The sequence below is a fragment of the Homo sapiens genome, chromosome 1 (assembly GCF_000001405.40).
Source record: "Homo sapiens chromosome 1, GRCh38.p14 Primary Assembly".
NCBI lineage: Eukaryota > Metazoa > Chordata > Mammalia > Primates > Hominidae > Homo > Homo sapiens.
The window spans coordinates 231,188,492-231,210,173 of record NC_000001.11 but is presented as its reverse complement, the minus strand read 5'-3'; the positions used below and the strand labels follow the sequence as shown (position 1 = coordinate 231,210,173).

At 50.7% G+C, this 21,682-nt stretch overlaps 1 protein-coding gene across 3 annotated transcripts in view; it reads right to left on the bottom strand.

Moving 5' to 3' along the window:
• The window catches only part of TRIM67 (tripartite motif containing 67), a 59,508-nt gene that overhangs the window by 11,392 nt on the left and 26,434 nt on the right, over positions 1-21,682 (bottom strand). For 2 of the 3 annotated variants that reach the window (NM_001004342.5, NM_001300889.3), the window contains 7 exons: positions 12,708-12,803; positions 11,005-11,127; positions 9,916-10,026; positions 8,657-8,816; positions 6,162-6,307; positions 3,384-3,522; positions 924-1,227 (listed from right to left, as the gene is read on the bottom strand). In NM_001004342.5, the coding sequence (NP_001004342.3) occupies positions 924-1,227; positions 3,384-3,522; positions 6,162-6,307; positions 8,657-8,816; positions 9,916-10,026; positions 11,005-11,127; positions 12,708-12,803 (1,079 nt within the window). The remainder of the gene's footprint in view (positions 1-923; positions 1,228-3,383; positions 3,523-6,161; positions 6,308-8,656; positions 8,817-9,915; positions 10,027-11,004; positions 11,128-12,707; positions 12,804-21,682) is intronic. The other variant, NM_001410937.1, reaches the window with a different exon arrangement.

Here is a 21,682-nt window from a genome sequence, read left to right as displayed (position 1 = left end):
GCAAGGCTCCATAGCAAGGAGGTGGCTTCAGGTGGCTGCAACTTGCAACTCTCCATTTCTGGCCTTGGGGATTCTTCACCCCCACGTCCATCCCCACATGCTGGCCAGGTGTGAGCACAAAATCCCTGGGAGAGGAGAAAGAGTACAGAGCTATGGTGCAGGGGTGTTGGGGGGGCACTGCCTTCTTTGTGTCTGAGGAGAGAGACCAAGGCACCCTAGAGAAGCCCAGGCCTCAGGGGCAGCCCTGGAGGACCCATCCCCATCTGCCCTCCTAACAGAGGTCCCAGTAGTTTCACAGGCCAGGACCTGAGTCTCCTGTGTCCATGCTGGTGACCCTACTCCCAGGGCCAGTCTCAGGGCAAAGCCACAGCTGTGGGCACCCTTGGCAGGCTCGTTAGTAGTGAGCACCCCAGCCATGCCCTCTGCTACTGCCCTGTCAAGGGCCCGGCCCTGCCGAGGCTCAAGCCCACATGAGACCAGGGCAGTGGCCAGGATCACTGCAGGCAAGTTAGTGGCAATGACCTGGTCACAGCTGTGAGGACACCAGCCCCAGTGGTGCCCATTAACACCCTGCAGCAACCCAAGCTTGGGTTGACAGTTGAAAAGGAAAGTGAAGCCGTACCAGAAAGAAAACTACGAGCTCCATATCCCAGCAGAGGACCACCGTGTGGCCCGCTGGGTAACTTGGGAGACCCATCTGTGCGGGTGCTGTGAGAGTCACCATAACATACCCTCATCTGGGCTGCAGGCCAGTTCTATATGGGCAGAGTGAAGGCCTCCTAGAAAATGGAGACCAAAGTGGCTGAAAATACCTCCTCTCAATTCCTCCTGGCTTTGGGGACAGCAGAAGGGACACTGGTCTTCAGGACCCTCATTCCCAAACAACCTGTGTCCACGGGAGGCAGGATGGGGCCCAATCGCACCTGTTGGTGTGGGAGTTGCAGTGCATGAACCAGCTGCGGTTGTTGTCCACATACATGGCCCAGGCCTTGTCATCCTTGCCCAGCATCATGTCCTTGACCACGCTGGCCCTGGCCACCCCGAAGGCGGGGTCTGGGTGGTTGTCGTACCGGTCCACGTGCAGCTCCCAGTAGTGCACGCCCTTGGAGAACGCAGCTGTGCCCAGCACCACCCGGTCGTCATAGCTGCTGCAGGTGGCTGTCTGGTTGTCATTGGATAAAATGATGTCCCGATGCCCAGAGTTGGGGTCAAATGTGAACCAGGCCACTAAAAAGGGAGGAGGTGAGAGGAGCAGGGTCAGGGGATGGAATTTGCTAGTAGTTTCTAACCGGCTCAGAGACACAAACACATTCGCTTCTGTTAGAAAGTCGGCACCCAGAAGTGAAGGGTCTTTCCTGTATGATTACCACACACGTGCACACACACACAAACGTACACACATGCACACACTCCCTGCTCTGTGTTCATCCAAGTTGCCAGCCCTACGAGCCTGGCCTTGCCAAGGATTTTCAGGCCTCAAAACCTCAAATCTAGATGCATTTTCTGGTCTTGGTTTCTAAAACCCTTCCAAATGCTCACAGTTAGAAATACAGGAGGAAATAGCCTGGGAGCAGTGGTCCACGCCTGTAATCCCAGCACTTTGGGAAGCCGAGGTGGGTGGATCACCTCAGGTCAGCGGTTTGAGACCAGCCTGGCCAGCATGGTTAAACTCCGTCTCTACTAAAAATACAAAAATTCGTGGCCGGGCATGGTGGTTCACACCTGTAATCCCAGCACTTTGGGAGGCCGAGGCGGGAGGATCACGAGGTCAGGAGATCAAGACCATCCTGGCTAACACAGTGAAACCCTGTCTCTACTAAAAATACAAAAAAATTAGCCGGGCGTGGTGGCAGGTGCCTGTAGTCCCAGCCACTCGGGAGGCTGAGGCAGGAGAAAGGTGTGAACCTGGGAGACAGAGCTTGCAGTGAGCCATGATCACGCCACTACACTCCAGCTTGGGCGACAGATCAAGACTCTGTCTCAAAAAAAAAAAAAAAATTCGCTGGACATGGTGGTGGGCGCCTATAGTCCCAGCTGCTTGGGAGGCTGAGGCAGGACAATCACTTGAACAGGTTGGCAGAGGTTGCAGTGAGCCAAGATTGTGCCATTGCACTCCAGCCTGGGCAACAGAGTGGGACTTCATCTCAAAAAAAAAAAAAAAAAAGTACAGGAGGAAATCGATATTGATGAGCCACCTCATGGGTGGGAGATTTGAGACACAGAGAGGTGAAGTGATGTGGCCAAAATCACAAAGCTCAATTCTCCATTTTGCAGCCCATCAGGTGGTGCCCCCTTTTGCTCCCCAACCCCCCAGGTTGATAGAAGTGAGTCCCTTACTCTAAAGTCATGACCACAATGCACAGGGCAAGGACCGCTCATCTCTGGGCAGGCAGGAGAGTCTAGAGGCAGAAGCTAGCGAGCTCTCCTCTAGGGGTGTACAAAGTGACTCTGCAGGTGGCATCATTTTCAGAAAAGTGTCCCTGGCTGGGCCTTTTGACACCAGCATCTGCTCATGCTCCTACTCCTCCCTGCCTCTAGGAGACCATCCAGCTGTGGCAGTCAGAGGATGTGTGGACTAAATGATAACAATGAATGCACGATTTGCCCTCTTCTTGGAGGCAGTGGGGAGCTGGAAACTGCCTCTGCAGCCTGGGCTGGGCCACACCTGGGGGAGCAGAACTCTCTTTGGAATGTGATTCCTATTTCTCTCATTGCTCTCTGCTAAGAACTCAGATGATCAAAATTCCACTGAATTAATATCAACATGCTGTTGTTGCCCAAGACCTAAAAGGCTGCAGGTAGGTGTATAAATCACTGGATGTGAGCTCTGATGCTGGGGATTAAAGGGCACTTTTCCGCTGTGAGAAAGGCTCAAATGTAGGGACTGGTGTGGGCCCACTGCATCTATCGTGGAGTTTTCTTGTCTGGGACTGTCCTACTCACTCCTCAGCCCTTGAGAAGTGGGAGAAGTTTAGCCTCCCTTAGCTACTTCACATTTAGTCCAGCACAATGGGGTAAATGAATGTTTCTTTCGTGGCTTGTAGGCCATGTGGGTGCAGCAAAGAGCTGTGTGTGCAGAGCAGGGTGAGGCGTATGCACCTCAACCGGCCCCTCCGGCCCTGCACTTCCTCCCTCCCCCATCTTCAGCAGCTCATCCTTTCCCCTGGTCCACGGGATGAAATGTGGGTTGGCCCTAGGAGTCAATCTTTGTCCTTTGGGAGCCCGCCTGTGGTCCCAGAAGGGCACGCCCTTGGAGAACCCAGCCGTGCCCAGCACCACCCCCCACCCCTACCCCATCATCATAGCTGCCACAAGTGGCTGTCTGGTTGTCACTGGATAAAATGATGAATCTGTTCTTCCCACTAAGAGATCCCGATGCTCACCATCGGATGTCTGCAGGACGACAGTTTTACTGTAAGGCCCGACACCAGAAGAGTTGAAAGCTTTGACTCGGGCGTTGTAGGTGCTGTTGAAGTGAAGACCGTCGATGGTACACAAAGTCTCCTTACCGACGTACACTTCCTGAAAGAGAGCAATGCTGCTCACCAGGCTCCTCTAGCATTTGGAAAGCTCCTCTTAGCAAATGGCTTCTGGAAACACATTGACATTAAAAGTGCTGTTGCCAGGTGTAGTCCCAGCTACTCAGGAAGCTGAGGTGGGAGCATCGCTTGAGTCCAGCCTGGACAACATTGCAGGGCCCCATTTCTAAACAATTTTTGTTTTTATTTTTTTGAGGGACAGAGTCTTGCTCTGTTGCCAGGCTGGAGTGGAGTGGCGTGATCTCGGCTTACCAAAACCTCCGCCTCCCGAGTTCAAGTGATTCTCCTGCGTCAGCCTCCCAAGTAGCTGGAACTACAAGCATGCACCACCATGCCCAGCTAATTTATATATATATATATATATTTTAGTAGAGATGGGGTTTCCCTATTTGTTGGCCAGACTGGTCTCGAACTCTTGACCTCAGGTGATCCTCCTGCCTTGGCCTCCCAAAGTGCTGGGATTACAGGTGTGAGCAACCATGCCCAGCCAAAAAATTAAAAAAAAAATTCTTACCAAATAGAAGTTATTAAAAAGGGAAATTACATTCAGTCATGGCTGGCTCACAGAACTTGACCAACTTGGGCATGAATGCCTTACTACTGGCTGCCCGGCCCCTCTGCCTGCGAGGCGGCGAGGCGTGATGGGGTCCTGGTGAGGCAAGCTTCCTGGGTCTGCAGCCAGCCAGGATACTGACCAGGAACATCCTGACTCTGCCAAGGTCTACCTGGTCAACAAGACTATTGAGCCACGGGCACATCCACTTCTTTGTCTCCTCCCACACCTGAGGCTGGCATCTTCCACTCCTTAGCCCTCCTGGAGCTGCTGTTTTCTGGTCTTTCCAAAGGGTGAGACATTTCTGCATCTGGCCTCAAAGATACTTTTCTTTCTTTCCTTTTTTTTTTTTTTTTGAGACAGAGTCTTACTCTGTCACCCAGGCTGGAGTGCAGTGGTGTAATCTTGACTTACTACAATCTTTGCCTTCCAAGTTCAAGTGATCCTTGTGCCTCAGCCTCCAGAGTAGCTGGGACAACAGGCATCCGCCACCATGCCCGGGTAATTTTTGTATTTTAAGTAGAGATGGGGTTTCACCATGTTGACCAGGCTGGTCTCAAACTCCTGACCTCAAGTGATCCATCCGCCTTGGCCTCCCAAAGTGCTGGGATTACGGGTGTGAGCCACCGTGCCTGGCCCCCAAAGATACTTTTCTAAAGATTGATCTTGTTCTCCATTAGCTTCAAAGTTACCTTTGTCCTATTCAACCCCCCAAATGCATAGCCTTTTGCCTCTCCCATGTCATTATTTTCTGCTAATTAAATAATGTGGTCTAAGATCACAGCTAATCCATATAGGAGCCACAGCTCAAATCCAGGTCTGTCTGCATGCAACATCCACACTTTTCCTACTGTAAGACCCTCTTCCTTATAAACCCTAGCCCTTAGGTCTAGCTTTTGTTAGTGGCCATGTCTCAAAGAGGAGGGACCATTTTTAAGCTCTGTGGCTGCTTCTTTTAATATTTCCCAACAGCCTTTTCTTTCTTCCCATTTCAAAAATACTGGCTCTCCTCTTGGTTTCGGGTGGACGAGCTCTTTCAGTTCTTGGCTGATTTGCACAACAGGAGTGACTGGGGTCTGCACTCAGTGACCCGGCTCAAGCTATCTCATCTTACCTCCCTAATTGGCCCATATTCACATGGGACTCAGTAATTCCCACGGAAGTGCTGCAATTATTTCCATAATTCTTACATTCCTGTATTTTTCAAACACAAAGTAAAACGACACATATGTACATCTCTTTGAGAGAAACTAAGGGAATGTTGACCTTCGGCAAGGTTTGTTAAATGGGTGCAACTTCCCAGGAGAAGAGATGCGAGTGTTGTTATGATTGCAGTGGTTTGTTGGAATGAGTGTTTATTTAATCTTCTCTGGGCTAGGAACCAGGTGATCTGAGAAGGCCCAGAGTTTGTGCTCTCTGGCATTCATGTCCGCCTGAACGTCACGGAGTGAAATCTCGAGGTAGTGCTCTATTAGGGCTGGGTTGGGGTGGAGTCCTGCTCCAGGGTTTCTAGAAGATGGGGAGTAGAAGATGCATTTCTGGCTCACTAAGAACCTTTATTGCCCCCATGATAGTCTATCAGCAGGGACATGACTGCAGAATGTTGTCCCGATTCAACAACCATTTATCCAGCATCCTCTATATGCCCAGCACCTTGCCAGGTATATGAGGGTCAGACAGTGCTTCCTCGTCTCCAGAAATGATACCTCCCAAGACAAGACAGAGCCGGGTGAAATAATTAGAGGATGAGACAAGACAAGGTGTGACAAAACCCGTTGAGGGAATGTGTTGCTGTGTGAGGGGCTGGGGGTAAACGGGAAAGGAGGTGGGTGCAGGAAACACCTTCTCTGAGTTCTCCTCCAGCCCCACGCCTGTGTCAGTCCTCCCAGACCTAGCCCTTGGGAGGGAAGCCCCATCTCCGCCAGCCTTCTTTATCCTTTTGGCCAGTGTCCCCTCAGGATGGCAACACAATGTCCCCATGGGCTGAACCAGAGTCTGGGGCAGTGGGAGCCACTCCTGCCTCTGCATTGGTACCCTCAATCCCCGCCAAATAAGCAGCAAGGCCTCACCCGGAACTGTCCCCCGGCACCGTCGTCCAGCTCCAGGATGTAGCCGTCCACGGGGCTGTGGGTGAAGGGTGGCATCCTCCAGGCCAGCGTGACGCTGTTGTTACGGGTGCAGCATTTCTCCAGCTGCAGTAGGGGGACGGGTGGCACTGCGAGGGGGACACACATGAGTTAGCGCAGGAAGCCCTCCGAGGGCCCCAGCCCGGTCCCCCACCCCACCCCATCCCAGGGGTCCTGGCCTCCAGAGGACAGCCAGGCTAAATTCCCTCCCTGGCCACCCTGTAGTCACTCCCAGACGCCCAGGAGTCAGTCTCCAGGTGGGCTGGGGATGAAGCCAAGCACAGGTGACCTGCACTTCTCAAACCTAGGGGTTGTCCTTCCTGGAATCTCAGGGGGCCGTGGCAGATGGCCCCACCCCTCTGAGCCTATGGCCCTAAGGAAGGATGTCCTCTTTCCCATCTGCCCACTGAGAACCACTGGTTTTGACTCAGACTCATGAGGAACGCATCAACAGTTCCAACAGAGTCCAGGCTCCCTGTGCGTGGCACAAGTCCCTAGGGATCCTCTCCGCAGGGCCCACAGCTAAGTGGCAGCCAGCCTGCAGCTCATGCCTGGAACTGGGAAGGTGAGGGGAGATGCCTTTAAACCTTTGGCTGGAAGCATTTACAAGGTCAGTGAACAAGATCCAGGCAACAGAAGAAAGTCTCGAGTATTGGACAGTCAACCTAAAGAACTAAGGATTTGAATCAGTTGTATCAGAAGTCCTATTAAGGTGAGAGTGGGAGAAGTTTACAAATTTTCTAGCTCTATTCAGGCTCAAGAGATTTTAGAAATCGATAGAGTCCACTTTGACCTTTTTTTTTATTTTTAAGGGAAAATTGAAACACTGGTTTTGTTAAAAGTACATATTTCAATTTGGTTCCAAGAATTTGGGCACGGGACTGGCTGAGCACAGACTGACTCCCAGCCTCAGTTAACGAGCTGGTAGGAGTCCTCGCTCCATCCCCTGGGCCCTGCTGCTCTGCTCTCCCGCTTCCTCTCTGAACGCTGACCAGCCAGTGACCCCATCCAGTCCAGTTACCCCTGACCAGTCCAGTGACCACATCCAGCTAGGAGCAGCATCTGGAGTGGCCCTAAGCCCTCCCTCCACACCCCCACTTTCCAAGGGGACCTCTCTCTTCCACTGCAGCTCATCCACTCTGCCAGGCTCCTCCTGCTTCTCAGCACTGCGTGTCATTTACACCTGGGGCAAATGGCCTTTCCAGACCTTCCTGGAGGTGCAAGCTGTGTGGGAGTGAGCATGGCAATGTGAGAGAGACTTCCTTCTTTAGTTTAAAATGGCCACAAATTATGCAGGTAAGGACTTCCTGAGTTCACAGATTCTGCAAGTGTGGCCCTCAGTCCACAAAAACCAAAGAGCTTTACCTCCCCTCCCTTGACATCTGTGGAGGGGCAGCATGCAGAGTAGGACTCCGGTTCTGGCCAGCATTTGCTGATTTCATAATGGGGCAAGTTATGCAAACTTTACTTAACCCTCTAGGGTCTCTGAACCCACCTTGCTCATTCTGCTCTCACCTCTGACCTTCTTGCTCTTGGGACAGAGAAAACTGATTCTTGCCTCAGGGACTTTGGACTTGCTATCCCTCTGCTGCCTGCAAAACTCTTCGCCTAGATTCTTCTCCCTCCTTCTCTTCCTCCTCCTCCTGCACCACCACCACCACTACTGCCTCCACCTCCTCCTCCTCCGCCACCACCTCCTCCTTCTCCACTACCCCCCCTCCTCTCCTACTACCTCCTCCTCCTCCACTATCTCAGCCACCACCTCCTCCTCTTCCACCTCCTCCTCCACTACCTCCTCCTCCGCTACCTCTTCCTCCTCCTCCATCTCCTCCTCCACCATTACCTCCTCCTCCTCCTCCATTATCTTAGCCACCACCTCCTCCTCCTCCATCTCCTCCTCCATGACTACCTCCTCCACCTCCTCCTCCTCTGCCACCACTTCCTCCTCCTCACCTCAAATCTCACCGCATGGCATCTACTGCTGGCCCTTCCTCTGATTCCTCTTCATAGCACCTGCCACCATCCAACATTCTATTATACATTTGTTTAGTGTCTATTTCCTTCTCGAGAGCGTAAGCCCAATCTTGTGAGTTGGTAGACTTGTTCAACCGCATCTTGAGCATGTGGAATAGTGCCTGGCACATGGTAGACACTTTCCAAGCACTTCTGAATGAACAAATAATTGTTGTTGAACAAATGATTGTCTTTTTCACAAATGGGAAGCCTCAGATTCTGACTGGTGCTTCTCACCCCAGCTCACATGGCTGTCAGGGGCTGAGCTGGGACTTGAACCTAGGTCCGTGACTCTGGCGCTCCTGCTCTCCCACCCTGCCACACTCCGTGCATCACAGGTCTCCCTATGGCACCGAGCTGGCCCCTCAGACTGCATGCCTCTTTTGAAAGAAGCACTGACTGAACTGGGGCCAACCGCGGCTCACCCCTACATTTCATCTGAATGAAGTCCAGCTGGTGGATGGCCTGCAGCAGCGGCTCGCTGTCCAAAGTCAGATCAAACTCCGCAGACACTTTCGGCTCCAGGGCGCCTTTGACCCACTGCTCCTGAGACACCTGGACGCGCTTGATCAGAGCATCTGAGATCTTAAAGGGGAGCAAAGAGTTTAAGGTTTTGCTTTGCAAAGGAAAAATTGTGCAGCCAGGGGTGAGGAAGAGGTAGGGACTTTGTCTCTATGGGACTCAGAGACAGAAAAGGGTTGTGCTCTAGAGCCATGGCAGAGATTAAATGACTCCTGTCCACCCAGCACAGGCTGTCTAAAAATGCATTGAAATATTGTTTCAATCGTATTTCATAATCACATGAAATGAAAAGAAGCACTTGATGCTTAAAGAGATTGCCGCAAACACTACTGAGAAATGCAAGATGCTTTTTAAATACACAAATGCATCCTTCATTAGATCTGTCTTCCTAGATCTAGTACTTTGCAAAGTGAAGCATACTAGCAGTTTGCCCCAGTGTCTAAAGAAAGCATATTCCACACCCCTAAAGTTTTGAAGCCCACATCTGCCCCCTGCCCGTGTGTTTCTTCTGAGTTGTTCTGCAACTTCTGCTCCAAACTTGACTGCATCACACCCGTGGTTCTGCTCCCTTTTGCTGGAAAGTCCTGCTTATCAGACATTTGCACGTGTCCCTGTCGAGCCAGGGTCTCGTGTGTCTTTCTTGGGAAATAATCAAAGGGATTCATCATTTTCCCCACCGACAAAGGCTGAATCACTGCCATGTTCCTGAGAGATACTCATGACCCTGAGTCAGCCTGAATGCAGGAGAGATGGCCCCGAGAAAATTGCACTGTGTCTGTAGGCAGCTGGTCACCAGCCAGGCCTGCAGGACTCTGCACATTGAGATAATGGGCCATGTGGATTCTGCTAACTTGCTTCTTCTGGTGCAATCTGTCCAGCTTGTTTGGCAAGACTGTCCTTTTGGGGAAAATGTTGCAGTGAGGCATTTCAGGCCTAGAGATGATGTCATTTCACCTCCTCGTTTCATGCATGCTGCAAAATTAGGTCACATCTAGTGAGAGTCAGAGCCAAGGTGAGAGCCTAGGTCTTCTGGAATCATTGAACAAAGGAGAATCTACTCAATCCAAGCCGTGAAAGGATCTTGCCTAGAACTTGGGCTGATTTGGGGAACAGTGGGACAGTTGGAGGAAGCCCACTTTGTGTCTTCCAGGGACAGGCTCACCTGTAAGAACCCGGAGGGGTCGTTCTCCTTGATCACCTCCAGGCAGTACTCCATCAGTCCGGTGGACTGACGCAGCTTCAATGTGCAGTGATTGATCTGGTCCCAAACCATCTGCAATGGAAAGACTCCTCTAAGTAACTGTCTCATGAGAGGAAGAACAGGCAGGCCACCGCAAGAGTCAGAGAACTAGTGCCAATACAGCCTGGAAGAGGCGGCGCTGGCCTGGACCACCTTGCACCAGCTCCTCTCTCAGCTCTGCTGCTAAGCTCCATGTGTCCTCTTTGCTGGGAAATAAGTGGACTCACTTCCTAACAAGCAGGGCTACAACACCCAACACAGAAACCTTTCTAAACTCATGATAGTCATGCAGAGAAAGAGCATAATCTGGAACTCTCCATACAATCAGCCACCAGCTTCTTGGCTGGCTTCCGACCGCTCAGTGGCCCTGGATAATGCAATGGTCCTAGCCCCCTCACTTATGAACCATGGGATCAACTCCAGCATGCATTCCTCCTTTTCTTGACAGTAATATTTTCTGGTCCAGTTATGAAATGTCTCTAGCATAGATGGAGCTCCTCAGACAGTGACAGCCCGTCATCAACTCAGAGAGTTCATGGGTGCCTGGCTGAGTTAGGGACTCAGTGTGACGTGAGGGGAGAGTCTCGTCTTCCCTTGGTGGGAACTGGCTGTGTATGTTATTGCTGACTGTTGAGTACATGAAATATCAGAGAGAACCTGAAGAAGGGGACAGAGCTGGAGACCTGAACAGGGTCAGGGCTAGTCACTGTCATTGGTCACTTCTGCTCTGCAAAATGAGAACAAGAATAGTCCCTTAGACAGAAACAGGGAGGGAGAGGGTGGACTTCTGACTTGAAACCCTCAGGACACAGGGCATATTGATTGGTCTCTGTCAGGTCACATGAATGTAACCGAACCAGCTGGTGCATCCCTTCCTTGCCTCATTCATTCATTAGCTCATTCATTCACTCACTTAGCTGTTATTTCCCCAGTGCCTACTCTGTGCTCCACCCCACGCTGGGTGCAGAGGATGTGGCAGGGATTCAATGTGTCAGTCCCCCAGGTACCTACCTTCAACTTGTGTTCCCTCTCTTTAGTCACCTTGGTGAGCAGCTTGGCTTTCTGACGAGTTAAAGCATCCACAAGGGCATCACACTGAGCAACGAGGCAGGCTTCGTAGTCCAGTCCGTTTTCCTGGCAGAGGTTGGGGGTTGGTTGGGAAGAAGCAAAGAGTTTTAGGGGGAAGATGCTAAAATCTGGTGAGTGCTATAGACAAAGATATATTTCAGAGAAGTTCATCCTAGATTTCTCTATAATGTTGTTAAATTAGAGACAATATTTATATGAATTAAGGCAGGTACTATGAATCTCATCACAGCCATATGGCAGAATATTCTGTAGTCATTCAAATCTTGTTCATAGGGCACTTTTAATGCCATGAGAAAATGCTCATGAGAGACTGTTAAGAAAGAAAAAAAGTCAGGATACACGTTATTCACAGCATAATCTCATACATTGTGTGTGTGTGTGTATGTGTGTTTAAAGTAATAGAACAGGCCCGGCGCGGCAGCTCATGCCTATAATCCCAGCACTTTGGGAGGCCAAGGCGGGTGGATCACCTGAGGTTGGGAGTTGGAGACCAGCCTGACCAACATGGAGAAACCCCGTCCCCACTAAAAATACAAAATTAGCTGGGTGTAGGGGCACATGCCTGTAATCCCAGCTACTCAGGGGGCTGAGGCAGGAGAATTGCTTGAACCTGGGAGGCGGAGGTTGCGGTGAGCTGAGATCGTGCCATTGCACTATAGCCTGGGCGACAGAGTGAGACTCTGTCTCAAAAAAAAAAGAATTCAGTCCCTCTTATTCCTCCAGATATGTTAATGCTTTCTCATCTTATGAGCAGTTCCTCTATGTGTGCACATTCACACAGGAGCACCTGTGTGTGCACGTTCTCCCCTATAGACAGACCCTGAGGCACACATGGTGCCTCATTGATCTTTGTATCTTGTGCTGGGCTCAGTACATGACACAGCATAAGAGTTCAGTAAACACATTTGTTTAGAAAATGATGCATTTATATTTTGATGCATTGATGACATGGGCATATTCGGCCACAAAAGCACCATATACAGATGCCACAAAGGACGACGACATGGCACGTAGAGTGCTAGATCACATCTTTCCAGCTCTCTCTAATTGGCTCCATGTAAAAGTCCTTTCCTGTATCAGGTGTCACTTGTGTGCCAATGAGTTGAATATGTGACACTTTCAGCACCCAAGGCTATAGGGTAGGACACATAAACCTTCTAATGTCCATCACTGAGAAAATGCTTGCTACAAGACTTTTCCTTTCTTCTTCTCCTTCTTCTCCTTCTCCTTCTCCTTCTCCTTCTTCTTCTTCTTCTTCTTTTCTTTGAGACAGACTTTCTCTCTTGTTGCCCAAGCCAGAGTGCAATGGCACAATCTCGGCTCACTGCAACCTCCGCCTCCCAGGTTCAAGTGATTCTCCTGCCTCAGACTCCAGAGTAGCTGGGATTACAGGCATGCGCCACCACGCCCGGCTAATTTTTGTATTTTTAGTAGAGACGGGTTTCTCCATGTTGGTAAGGCTGGTCTCAAACTCCCAATCTCAGGTGATCTGCCCGCCTCGGCCTCCCAAAGTGTTGGGATTACAGGTGTGAGCCACCGTGCCCCGCCTCTTTCTTCTTAATACGATGCACAACGTGCAAACTTTCAACACTGAGTATTTCTCCCGACGCCAGAGCTGTGCTCACCTGGATCTGCTGCAATATGTTCTTTAGCTGAACCAGAAACTCCTTTGCTTCCTTTGCCTTATCTGAAACTCCATTTAAGGCCTGAGATAGTTGTGCCTGAAAAAGATATCACATGTTGAAAAGAAAAATTAGTTGTGAAAGGCACAGAAAATTTGCACTTCATCATAAAAGCTTATGTTTATAAGAGGGGATAGGACTGATCCCACGCATCTGCTGTTCTCATTGATGAAGGGACCACCACTGACCCATGATCTCTACAACATTTGTTTATTTTTCCAACAGTGGTAGATTGGCCTGCACTCTCCTTTCTCATCCCCAAAGCTGGATAGAGGTAAGGAGCACTCAGCTAACGGGTTGAAGCAAACAGGTCTGCCCCTGATGTTTGTAGAGCCCAAGACAAGAAGATAAATAGAGTCCTTGGCTTGGCCTGGCCCCCTCTATCCATAATCAGTACATGCCTGTATGGACATTCCAGACCCCAGGTCAGGTTCCGTCCACCCCATCCCTACACAGTCATCTCCTGGCCTGGGGTGCAAACCCTGGGGCCTGGTATGCCCTGAGGGATGGACAGGAAGGGGGCTGTGGGTCCTGGAACTGGACTAGGTGTATGGACTGGTAATCCTAGGGCATCCTCTAAAGGGGCATACAGGCTCCTAGCCTGGTACCCTTAGCCCTGGGGACTCCTCACCCTGCAGAGAGGGGTGTGACCAGCAGAAGCTTCTGAAGCATGAGGATCAGTTGCTGTGGCCCAAGGGTGAAATTGCAAGCTGAGCTCAAATCTATGGCTTTTGGCACCAGGCTTTTTTGTAACGAACCACATACACACACAATTGAATTTGTCTTTAAAACCTAGCTATTGAGTAGACTGTGACCTTGATTTTTTTTTTTTTTGAGACAGGGTCTCACTGTGTTGCCCAGGCTAGAGTGCAGTGGCTCAATCATGACTCACTGCAGCCTCAACCTCTCAGGCTCAAGTGATCCTCCCAAATCAGCCTCCAGCTAATTTTTGCATTTTTTAGTAGAGATGGTGTCTCGGAGGCTGTGTTGCTCAGGCTGATCTCAAACTCCTGGTCTCAAGTGATCCTTCCACCTTGGCCTCCCAAATTGCTGGGATTACAGGTGTGAGCCATCACGCCCATCCAGACTGTGACCCTGATTTTTACATGACTCTCATTTTCCACATTAAAAAGCTGAGGATAGAACAAAGCAGAGTCAGAAGGGCCAGGGTCTCCTTCTCCCCCAAGTCCCCTCCCAGGTCTCTGCTCAGACGTCACTGTGTCAGTGAGGACTTTCCTCACGACCTTGTGCAATATCCCCCTCGCCTTCCCCTGGCTTATTCTTCCTCCTAACAGTCGTCACCACCCAACCTAGAAAACTTGTTTGCTGTCCATCTCCATGTCCTAGAATGAAGGACAAGGGCTTTGCTGGGTGGCTCACAGCTTATCCCGGCACTGGAAGAGTACCCGGCACATGGTGGCATTCAATAAATATTTGTTGAATGCATGAATCAGTGAATGGGATTCTTTAGACCACACCAACGGTTGTCAAAGTGTGGTTCTAGACCAGCAACATCAGCATCACTGGGCGATTTGTTGAAGTGCACCGTCTCTGGCTGCACCCCAGATCTGCTGATCAGAGGTCGTGGGTGAAGCCCTGGAGTCTGCGGTTTACCAAGCCCTCCAGGGGGTTCTGATGCAGTTTGAGATCCCCTGGACTGTGCAAGTGCAGCCTCCACTGAAAACCTATGGAGAAGATGGCAAAGGAAGCCCACAAAAAGACACAGGGAGTAGGTGGAAATACAAGGAAGGGGGCCCGGTCCCCAGGAGCACCAGCACGCAAGGAGAGGTCAAGGTCTAGGCTGTCTGCTCAGAGAGAGCAGGAGCCTTAGGCTAAGGATCAGCGGAGGTGCAGCTCCTTGGAGAAGCTTTTTCCTACACCATGAGCCTCACCACTCCCAGCCCCACCTCAGTGGGTTTAGGCTCTCCACTCCATAGCTGGCCCACAGTGTACCACCATCTGTTGCCAGCACCTAGGCAGTGAAACATCCCATAGAATATACAGTGATGGCAGAAGCGTCTCAGGTCTGCTCTGTCCCTGACGGTAGCCGCTAGCTGCCTGTGGGTACTGAGCACTTGAAGTAGCTAATGTGACTGAGGAGCTGGACTTTTCATATTATTTAGGGTAAGTTGCAACTGCCATGTGTGATTAGCCAGTGGCTAGTCCTGGAGAGCACAGGTTTGACACCCATCTGATAACCTACAGGTCACATTTGGCAGGCTTCTGGATTAACCTCCTGGGAAAGGCCTCGTGATTCATGGCTTACATCCTGTCTCTGAGAAAAGGCTCTTATCCCGAGGCCCTCAAATCTTACTGTGAGTTCCTCAAACTGTTGACATACTGATTAATACATAACCTACTGACATCAAAAAGGACAGTGAAGCCAGGTGGGGTAGCTCATTCCTGTAATTCCAGCTACTCAGAGGCAGAGGCAGGAGAATTGCTTGAGGCCAAGAGTTCAAGACCAGCCTGGGCAACATAGAGAGACCTCCCTGCCGCACTCCCCGGCCCCGCTTTCCTCCCTCATCCTCACCCTCTCTCTATAAAAAAATTTTAAAAATTAGCTGGGCATGGTGGTGTGTGCTTGTAGTCCCAGCTACTCGGGAGGCTGGGGCAGGAGGATGGCTTGAGTCCAGGAGGTTGAGGTTACAGTGAGTTATGATTATGACACTGTGCTCCAGCCTAGGTGACAGAGTGAGACTGTGTCTCAAAATAAAAATGACACATTTGTTTCTGAATCACAAAGTTTTACTGATCGCCTTGCACATGGAATGTTAGCCTGTATGTTGTCATCTGTAGCCAATGAATGTAACCTCTGTGCTGTAGCCATCAATGGAAAAGGACAACTCTGATAGGAGGAGCTCTCCCTTCTCCTTCACTTTCTAGATAAGCCTTCCAACCTGTGACAGGCTCTGGAACATGCCCAGCTTTGTTGGTGTGTCTTCCCCAGTCGAGCCTCACACTTGGCTTCCAATGAACCTTTATCAAATTATTTCTGCCCTGACAGCCTTAATTTTGCCACATCCTTAGTGGGGTGCAGAGCCCAGGACAACTCCACCCATCCCAGGATACTCACCCTCAAAAGGAGGCTGAGGGGTCAGCATCATTCACAGGCCCTGGAAGATATCTTTAATGACAGGAGTTTTCAAGTTGAAGTTTATCAGGGACAGGGAAAGAATAGCAACCCCTTTCCAAGACTCCCACCCAAAGCATGGGCCCCCTGGGGCTGTGGCTGGCCCCTCCTCTCTTGGTCAGCTCGGGCTGCAGCAACAGAACACACAGACCTGGGGCTTCAGCCACAAACACGGATTTCTCAGAGTTCTGGAGGCTAGAAGTGTGAGATCCGCGTGCCAGTGCGGTTGGTTCAGGGTGAGGGCCCTCTTCTGGGTTAGGTCCTCACGTGGTGTCATGGTTTGGATATAGTATTTTTGGCCACATTAAATCTCATGTTGAAATTTGATCCCCAGTTTTGGAGGTGGAGCCTAGTGGGAGGTATTTGGTCACAGGGGTGGATCCGCATGAGTGTCTTGGTACCGTCCTCCCCTCCTGCTTAGCGGGTTCTCACTGTATTAGTCCCCACGAGAACTGGTTGTTAAACAGAGCCTGGCAGCTCCCTCCTCTCTCTCTCAATTCCTCTCTTGCCATGTGATGCCTGCTCCCTTTTGCCTTCCACCATGAGTGGAAACTTCCTGAGGCCCTCACCAGAAGCAGATGCTGGGGCCATGCTTCTTGTACAGCCTGCAGAATCATGAGCCCCATAAACCACCTTTCTTTATAAATGACCCAGACTCAGATATTCCTTTATAGCAATGCAAATGGACTAAGATGCATGGATTTTCCTTGGTGTGTGCACCAAGAGGAGAGAGAGAGAGAGAGAGAGAGAGAGAGAGAGAGAGAGAGAGAGAGCTTGAGAGAGAGTTCAGGTGTCTCTTTCTTTTTTTTTAAGGGAATTAATTCTATCAGAGGGGGCTGTGAGCACATCTAAACCTAATTACCTCCCAAAGGCTCCACCACCTAATATCAGCACATTGAAGATTTAGGCGTCAACGTATGAATTTGGAAGGGACACAAACATTCAGTTCATAGCACCTCCCACTCATCATACAGTCCTCAGTGGAGAGACTTTGTCTTTTGTCTCTACATTTCTATCCCACTGTGCTGCACAAAGTAGGAGCTCAAAGAATGCTCCCCGGCTGAATAAAAAGCAAAATAATTGCTTGAGGTGCATGCAAAGAGTGGGATAGATCCCTGCAGATTCATCACTGCGGCTAGCACCTTCCTGGAGGAACTCAGCAAGCTTGCTTCTGCCTGAGAGGCAGGGTAGTTAGGGTCACGCACCATCTGCCCAGTACCAGGGGCCAGGACGGCTCTGTCCCAGCCAGCGCCAGCCTTCCAGGAGCCCAGCCCTCCCCAGAGCCTGCTGACCTTCTTCCTGCTTGGCAAGAAGACCAAGGAGCTTGGCAAGAAGCCCAAAAACAGAGTGGTTTTGAAGGAGACCCGTGACCGCAGGCTAATGCCTGGCTGAAAGGGGGACAGTCTCACGGTTCAGCGGACACTGCTTCCAGGTCCATCAGACTTGCCATCTAATTTTTCCCTCCACTGCTTTTTGATGCCCCCTTGGTGAGGTCACCTCAATGCACGCCACATTGGGGCCTGCCATGTGCTCAGCCACGTGAGGGCCCTGTGCCCTGGTCTGCAGCCATGGAAGAGCCAAAATGGGCAGTGTGAGGGCTAGCCGCTGTCGAGGGATGTCCTCATAAGCACACACTGGTCCTTTTCTTCAACCCAGTCCTTTGTGTGTGAATGACCACAAGTCAGTTCTCCTCACTCAGGGAATAGCATTGTGGAAATCAGACCTGATAATTCTAGTGGAAAAAGAGCAAAGGTTTTTGGAGTGAAAGAACAAACGATTTTTTTTTTAAGAGATGGAGTTCTGGAGCAGTGGCTCATACCTGTAATCCCAGGACTTTGGGAGGCCGGGGTGGGAGGATTGCTTGAACCCAGGAGTTTGAGACCAGCCTGGGCAACATAATGAGTACGACCAGACTGGGTAATATAGTGAGCTGTTGTCTCTACAAAACATTTAAAAATAAGCCAGGTGTGGTGGCATGTGCCTCTAGTCTCAGCTACTTGGGAGGCTGAGGCAGGAAGATCACTGGAGCCCAGGGCGAGACCCTGTATCAAAGACAGAGAGAGAGAGAGAGAGACAGGGAGAGTGAGAGAGAGACAGATGGAGATCTGGAGAGCTTTCTCTGCCACTCAGGCTGGAGTGCAGTGGTGTAATCATAGCTCACTGTAGCCTCAAAAACCTGGCCTCAAGCGATCCTCCTGCCTCAGCCTCCCGAAGCACTGGGATTACAGGCCTGAGCCACCTTGCCTGGCTCTCACTCTCTAAAGATGGGTGGCCCAGGAAAGCTGCATCAGCTCCCTGCCCTGCTGCCCCACTGCACGCTGGAGATCTCTGCCTTGAGCAGAGTTGGAGTGCCACAAGGTAGGCAGCATAGTACCTGACATGTAGAATGTGCTCCATAAATATTTGTGTCAGTGAATTGATTTTGCTCTAGATTTTTGTCTGACTAGCTCCCTGAGATATTCAAGTCTCAATCCTCTCCCACACTGGGCATAATTAAAATGGCCTTGTGGTCATTCCAAACCTACTGTTTCTAGGGCATGGAGCCCCATATGGTCCCGGGCACCAGCAGTCTGACCCTACTCTGAGGACTGACCCGCTTTTTATGACTTCTGGGTGTTAACTATTTCTAGGTTAACTGCCGCCACTGACCTGGTTCACATTTAGTCACACTGGATGAGGCTTCTGATGCCCCACGCTCCTGATGCCCTGTCTCTATTGCACACCAGAGGGTTCCTCTGCCCTGCCCTGCTCTCCCCCTTTACTGAGCAACCTGCCAACAGCTGGGGAAGCCCCCCACCCACCATCTCAACACCCCTTGCCAGTCCGCGGAGAGCGGCTTTGTTTTCTAGTCTTCTCTCAATGGCCAGGCCTAGGTTCCAAGAGCCCAGTAACCAGAATAAAGATAACTTCCAGGCTTGGCACGGTGGCTCACGCCTGTAAACCCAACACTCTGGGAGGCCAAGGCGGGAGGATCACTTGAGCCCAGGAGTTCTAGACTAGCCTAAGCAACACAGCAAGACCCCTGTCACTACAAAAAATACAAAAATTAGCTGAGTGTGGTGGTATACACCTGTAGTCCCAGCTACTCAGGAGGCTGAGGTGGAAGGATTGCTTGAGCTCAGAAGTTTGAGGCTGCACTGAGCTTTGATTGTACCACTGCACTCCAGCCTGGGTGACAGAGTGAAAACTTGTCTCTTAAAAAAATGATGATGAATAAATATAACTTCCCTAGCGTCCAGCCTAAACTGAGGCTCAGAAATATGGTGGGGAGCCTTGATCACCCTGTGATTGAGGCAGATGCAGCAACAGGCCTGGAGACTGGAAACAAGGTGTGACCCATGGAGTCACTGGAGGTGACTCACAGGGATGAGAGAGGGAGGAGGTGAGCACGTGGAGACCCTGGAAGTGGGGAAAGAATAGGACAAAGGAGGGTCCTGAGAGGGAGACTTGGGCAGACCCTTCTCCCATGAAATAGTGGCAGCCAGACCTCCCGGATTCCCCAACCCCACCGGCTTCCCCGCTCCCAGTCCGCTCCCAGGATCCAGTCCCCCGCCCTGAGGATCCAGGCCACAGAGACTTTGCTCCATGCAGCATGAGGGATTGATGGTAAGGGCACAGGGGAGAGGGACGCCCCTGGGTAGATGTCCACTTAGGGAGGAGCCAGCTCAGCATTGGCTACGAAGGGAGCAATGCTGGGTGGCAGCCCCTGGTATGTTACGCCGGGGGCCGCAGGCTGAAGGTGACCCCCCAGAAACAGAAGGGGTCATTGGTAGAAGAACTAGGAGCCAGGGGTTGATCCAGGCAGCCTCTCTCTGCAGTGGCTGTGGCCCAGAGCTGGGGGGAGATCCCCTGAGGCAAAGCAGCTCAGAAGATCAGCTCCTGTCCCTGCAGCTCCCTGTGTTTGTGTCGCTAAGCCAGTAAGGAGGAGAGCTGGGACTGGAATGGGGCTCTCCAGATGCTGATCCAATGTTCTGTTCAGTGCTTCAAGCCACATCCAATTCTCAGAACCCCTACATGGAGCCTGCTGCCACGACTCTGTCAACACAGACTAGATCTCTTTGAAGGCGCCACCACTGCCTTCATCTAGGGCTGTTGCAAAAGAAGAGAACTCTCTGGGAGGATCTGCCTTTCCCTGAATCCCCAGGCTCACTCTGTCATGGGTTCCTATGGGACATTAGTTTCTTATTGCTGCTGTGACAAGTTGCCATAAGCCTCGTAGCCTAGATCAACACAAATTTATCATTTTATGGTTCTAGAGGTCAGAAGTCCAAAATGTGTCTTACAAGCCTAAAATCAAGGTATGGGCAGGGCTGGTTCCTTCTGGAGGCTCTAAGGGAGAATCCTCTTCTGTGCCTTTTCTGGCTTCTAGAGGTCACCCACATTCCTTGGCTTGCGGCCCCTTCCTGGCATCGTTCAACTTCATGTGCTATGGTCTGAATGCTTGCATCTCCCCCAGATTCATATGTTGAATCCTAACCCCAGGAGAGGTGGTATCAGCAGTGGGGACTTTGGGAGGTGGTGAGGTCATGAGGGTGGAGCCCTCATGAAGGGGATTAGAACCCTTATAAAACAGGCCCCAGAGTGAGGCCCCAGAGTGAGAAGATGCCATCTATGAATCAAGAAAACGTCCTGCCAGGCACCAAATCTGCTAGGCACTGATCTTGGACTTCCTAGCCTCCAGAACTGTGAGAAGTACATTCCTTTTGTTTATCAACCCCCCTGTCTATGGTATTTTGTTATAGCATCCTGAAGACTAAGACATCTTGCTTCCATCCTCATCTCCTATGACTAACTCTGATCCTCCTATCTCCCTCTTACAAGAACCTTTCTGGTGACATTGGACCCACAATGATTGTGAGGTTAAAGCAGGATAATCTCCCCATCTCAAGATGCTTAACTTCATCACATTTATCACATTTGCAAAGCTCTTTCGCCATGTAAGGTAACATTCACCTTACATGGGTTCCAGGAATAAAGATATGGATGTCGTCCTTGGAGGCCATCATTGAGCCTGCTATGACTGGCAATTAAATTTATCATTTTTAAAAACCTCATTTCACATGTGGCCACAGAACTGTTCAATGTCTGCTGCTCAGAGGACTGTGCACTCAATGAAGTCACGTTGGATTTATCCAGTGTCGCATCCCCAGCTCAGAGCCCGGAGGCTAGTACACAGGACCCACTATAAATGGTGCCTGATTGAGGGTCTGTTTCTACCTGGATCGTCAGCTTTGTACTGGGCCCATGAGGCAGTTCTCAGGACAAGATCCATCACAGAACCAACATCCACCAGACACAGATCCACCCGCTGAGGCCAGAAAAGTGGATCTTGTGGAGAACAATGTCATTTTTGTGCCACAGGACAAAGGTCTGACTGCCCGAACCCAGTCACAACCTGGACTTGATGGCCTCTCCTCTCCTGAGGTGGGACAGGATCAGTAGCAACTGGTGACTTCCCATTAATAGCAATAAGAATAACAACCGACAGCTTGCTAAGTGCTGAGCTCTTTACATGCCGAATTTATCTGATTCCTCATAACCTAGCAAGGAGGTGCCATATTAACACCATTTTACAGAAGGGAGCATGGGCTCGAGAGGGGAAGTAATTTGCTCAAAGTCACACAGCTAGTAAGTAGTGTGGCCAGGACTCAAACCCAGATTTTTCTGAATCCAAAGTCGATGCTCTTTGCACTCCATTGCACTGCACTTTGGATGTTCAACCAACGTGGAAGGAGGACAAAACCTAATTTCCCATTAAAATCCCTCGGAGGCAGGGCTGCTGGGC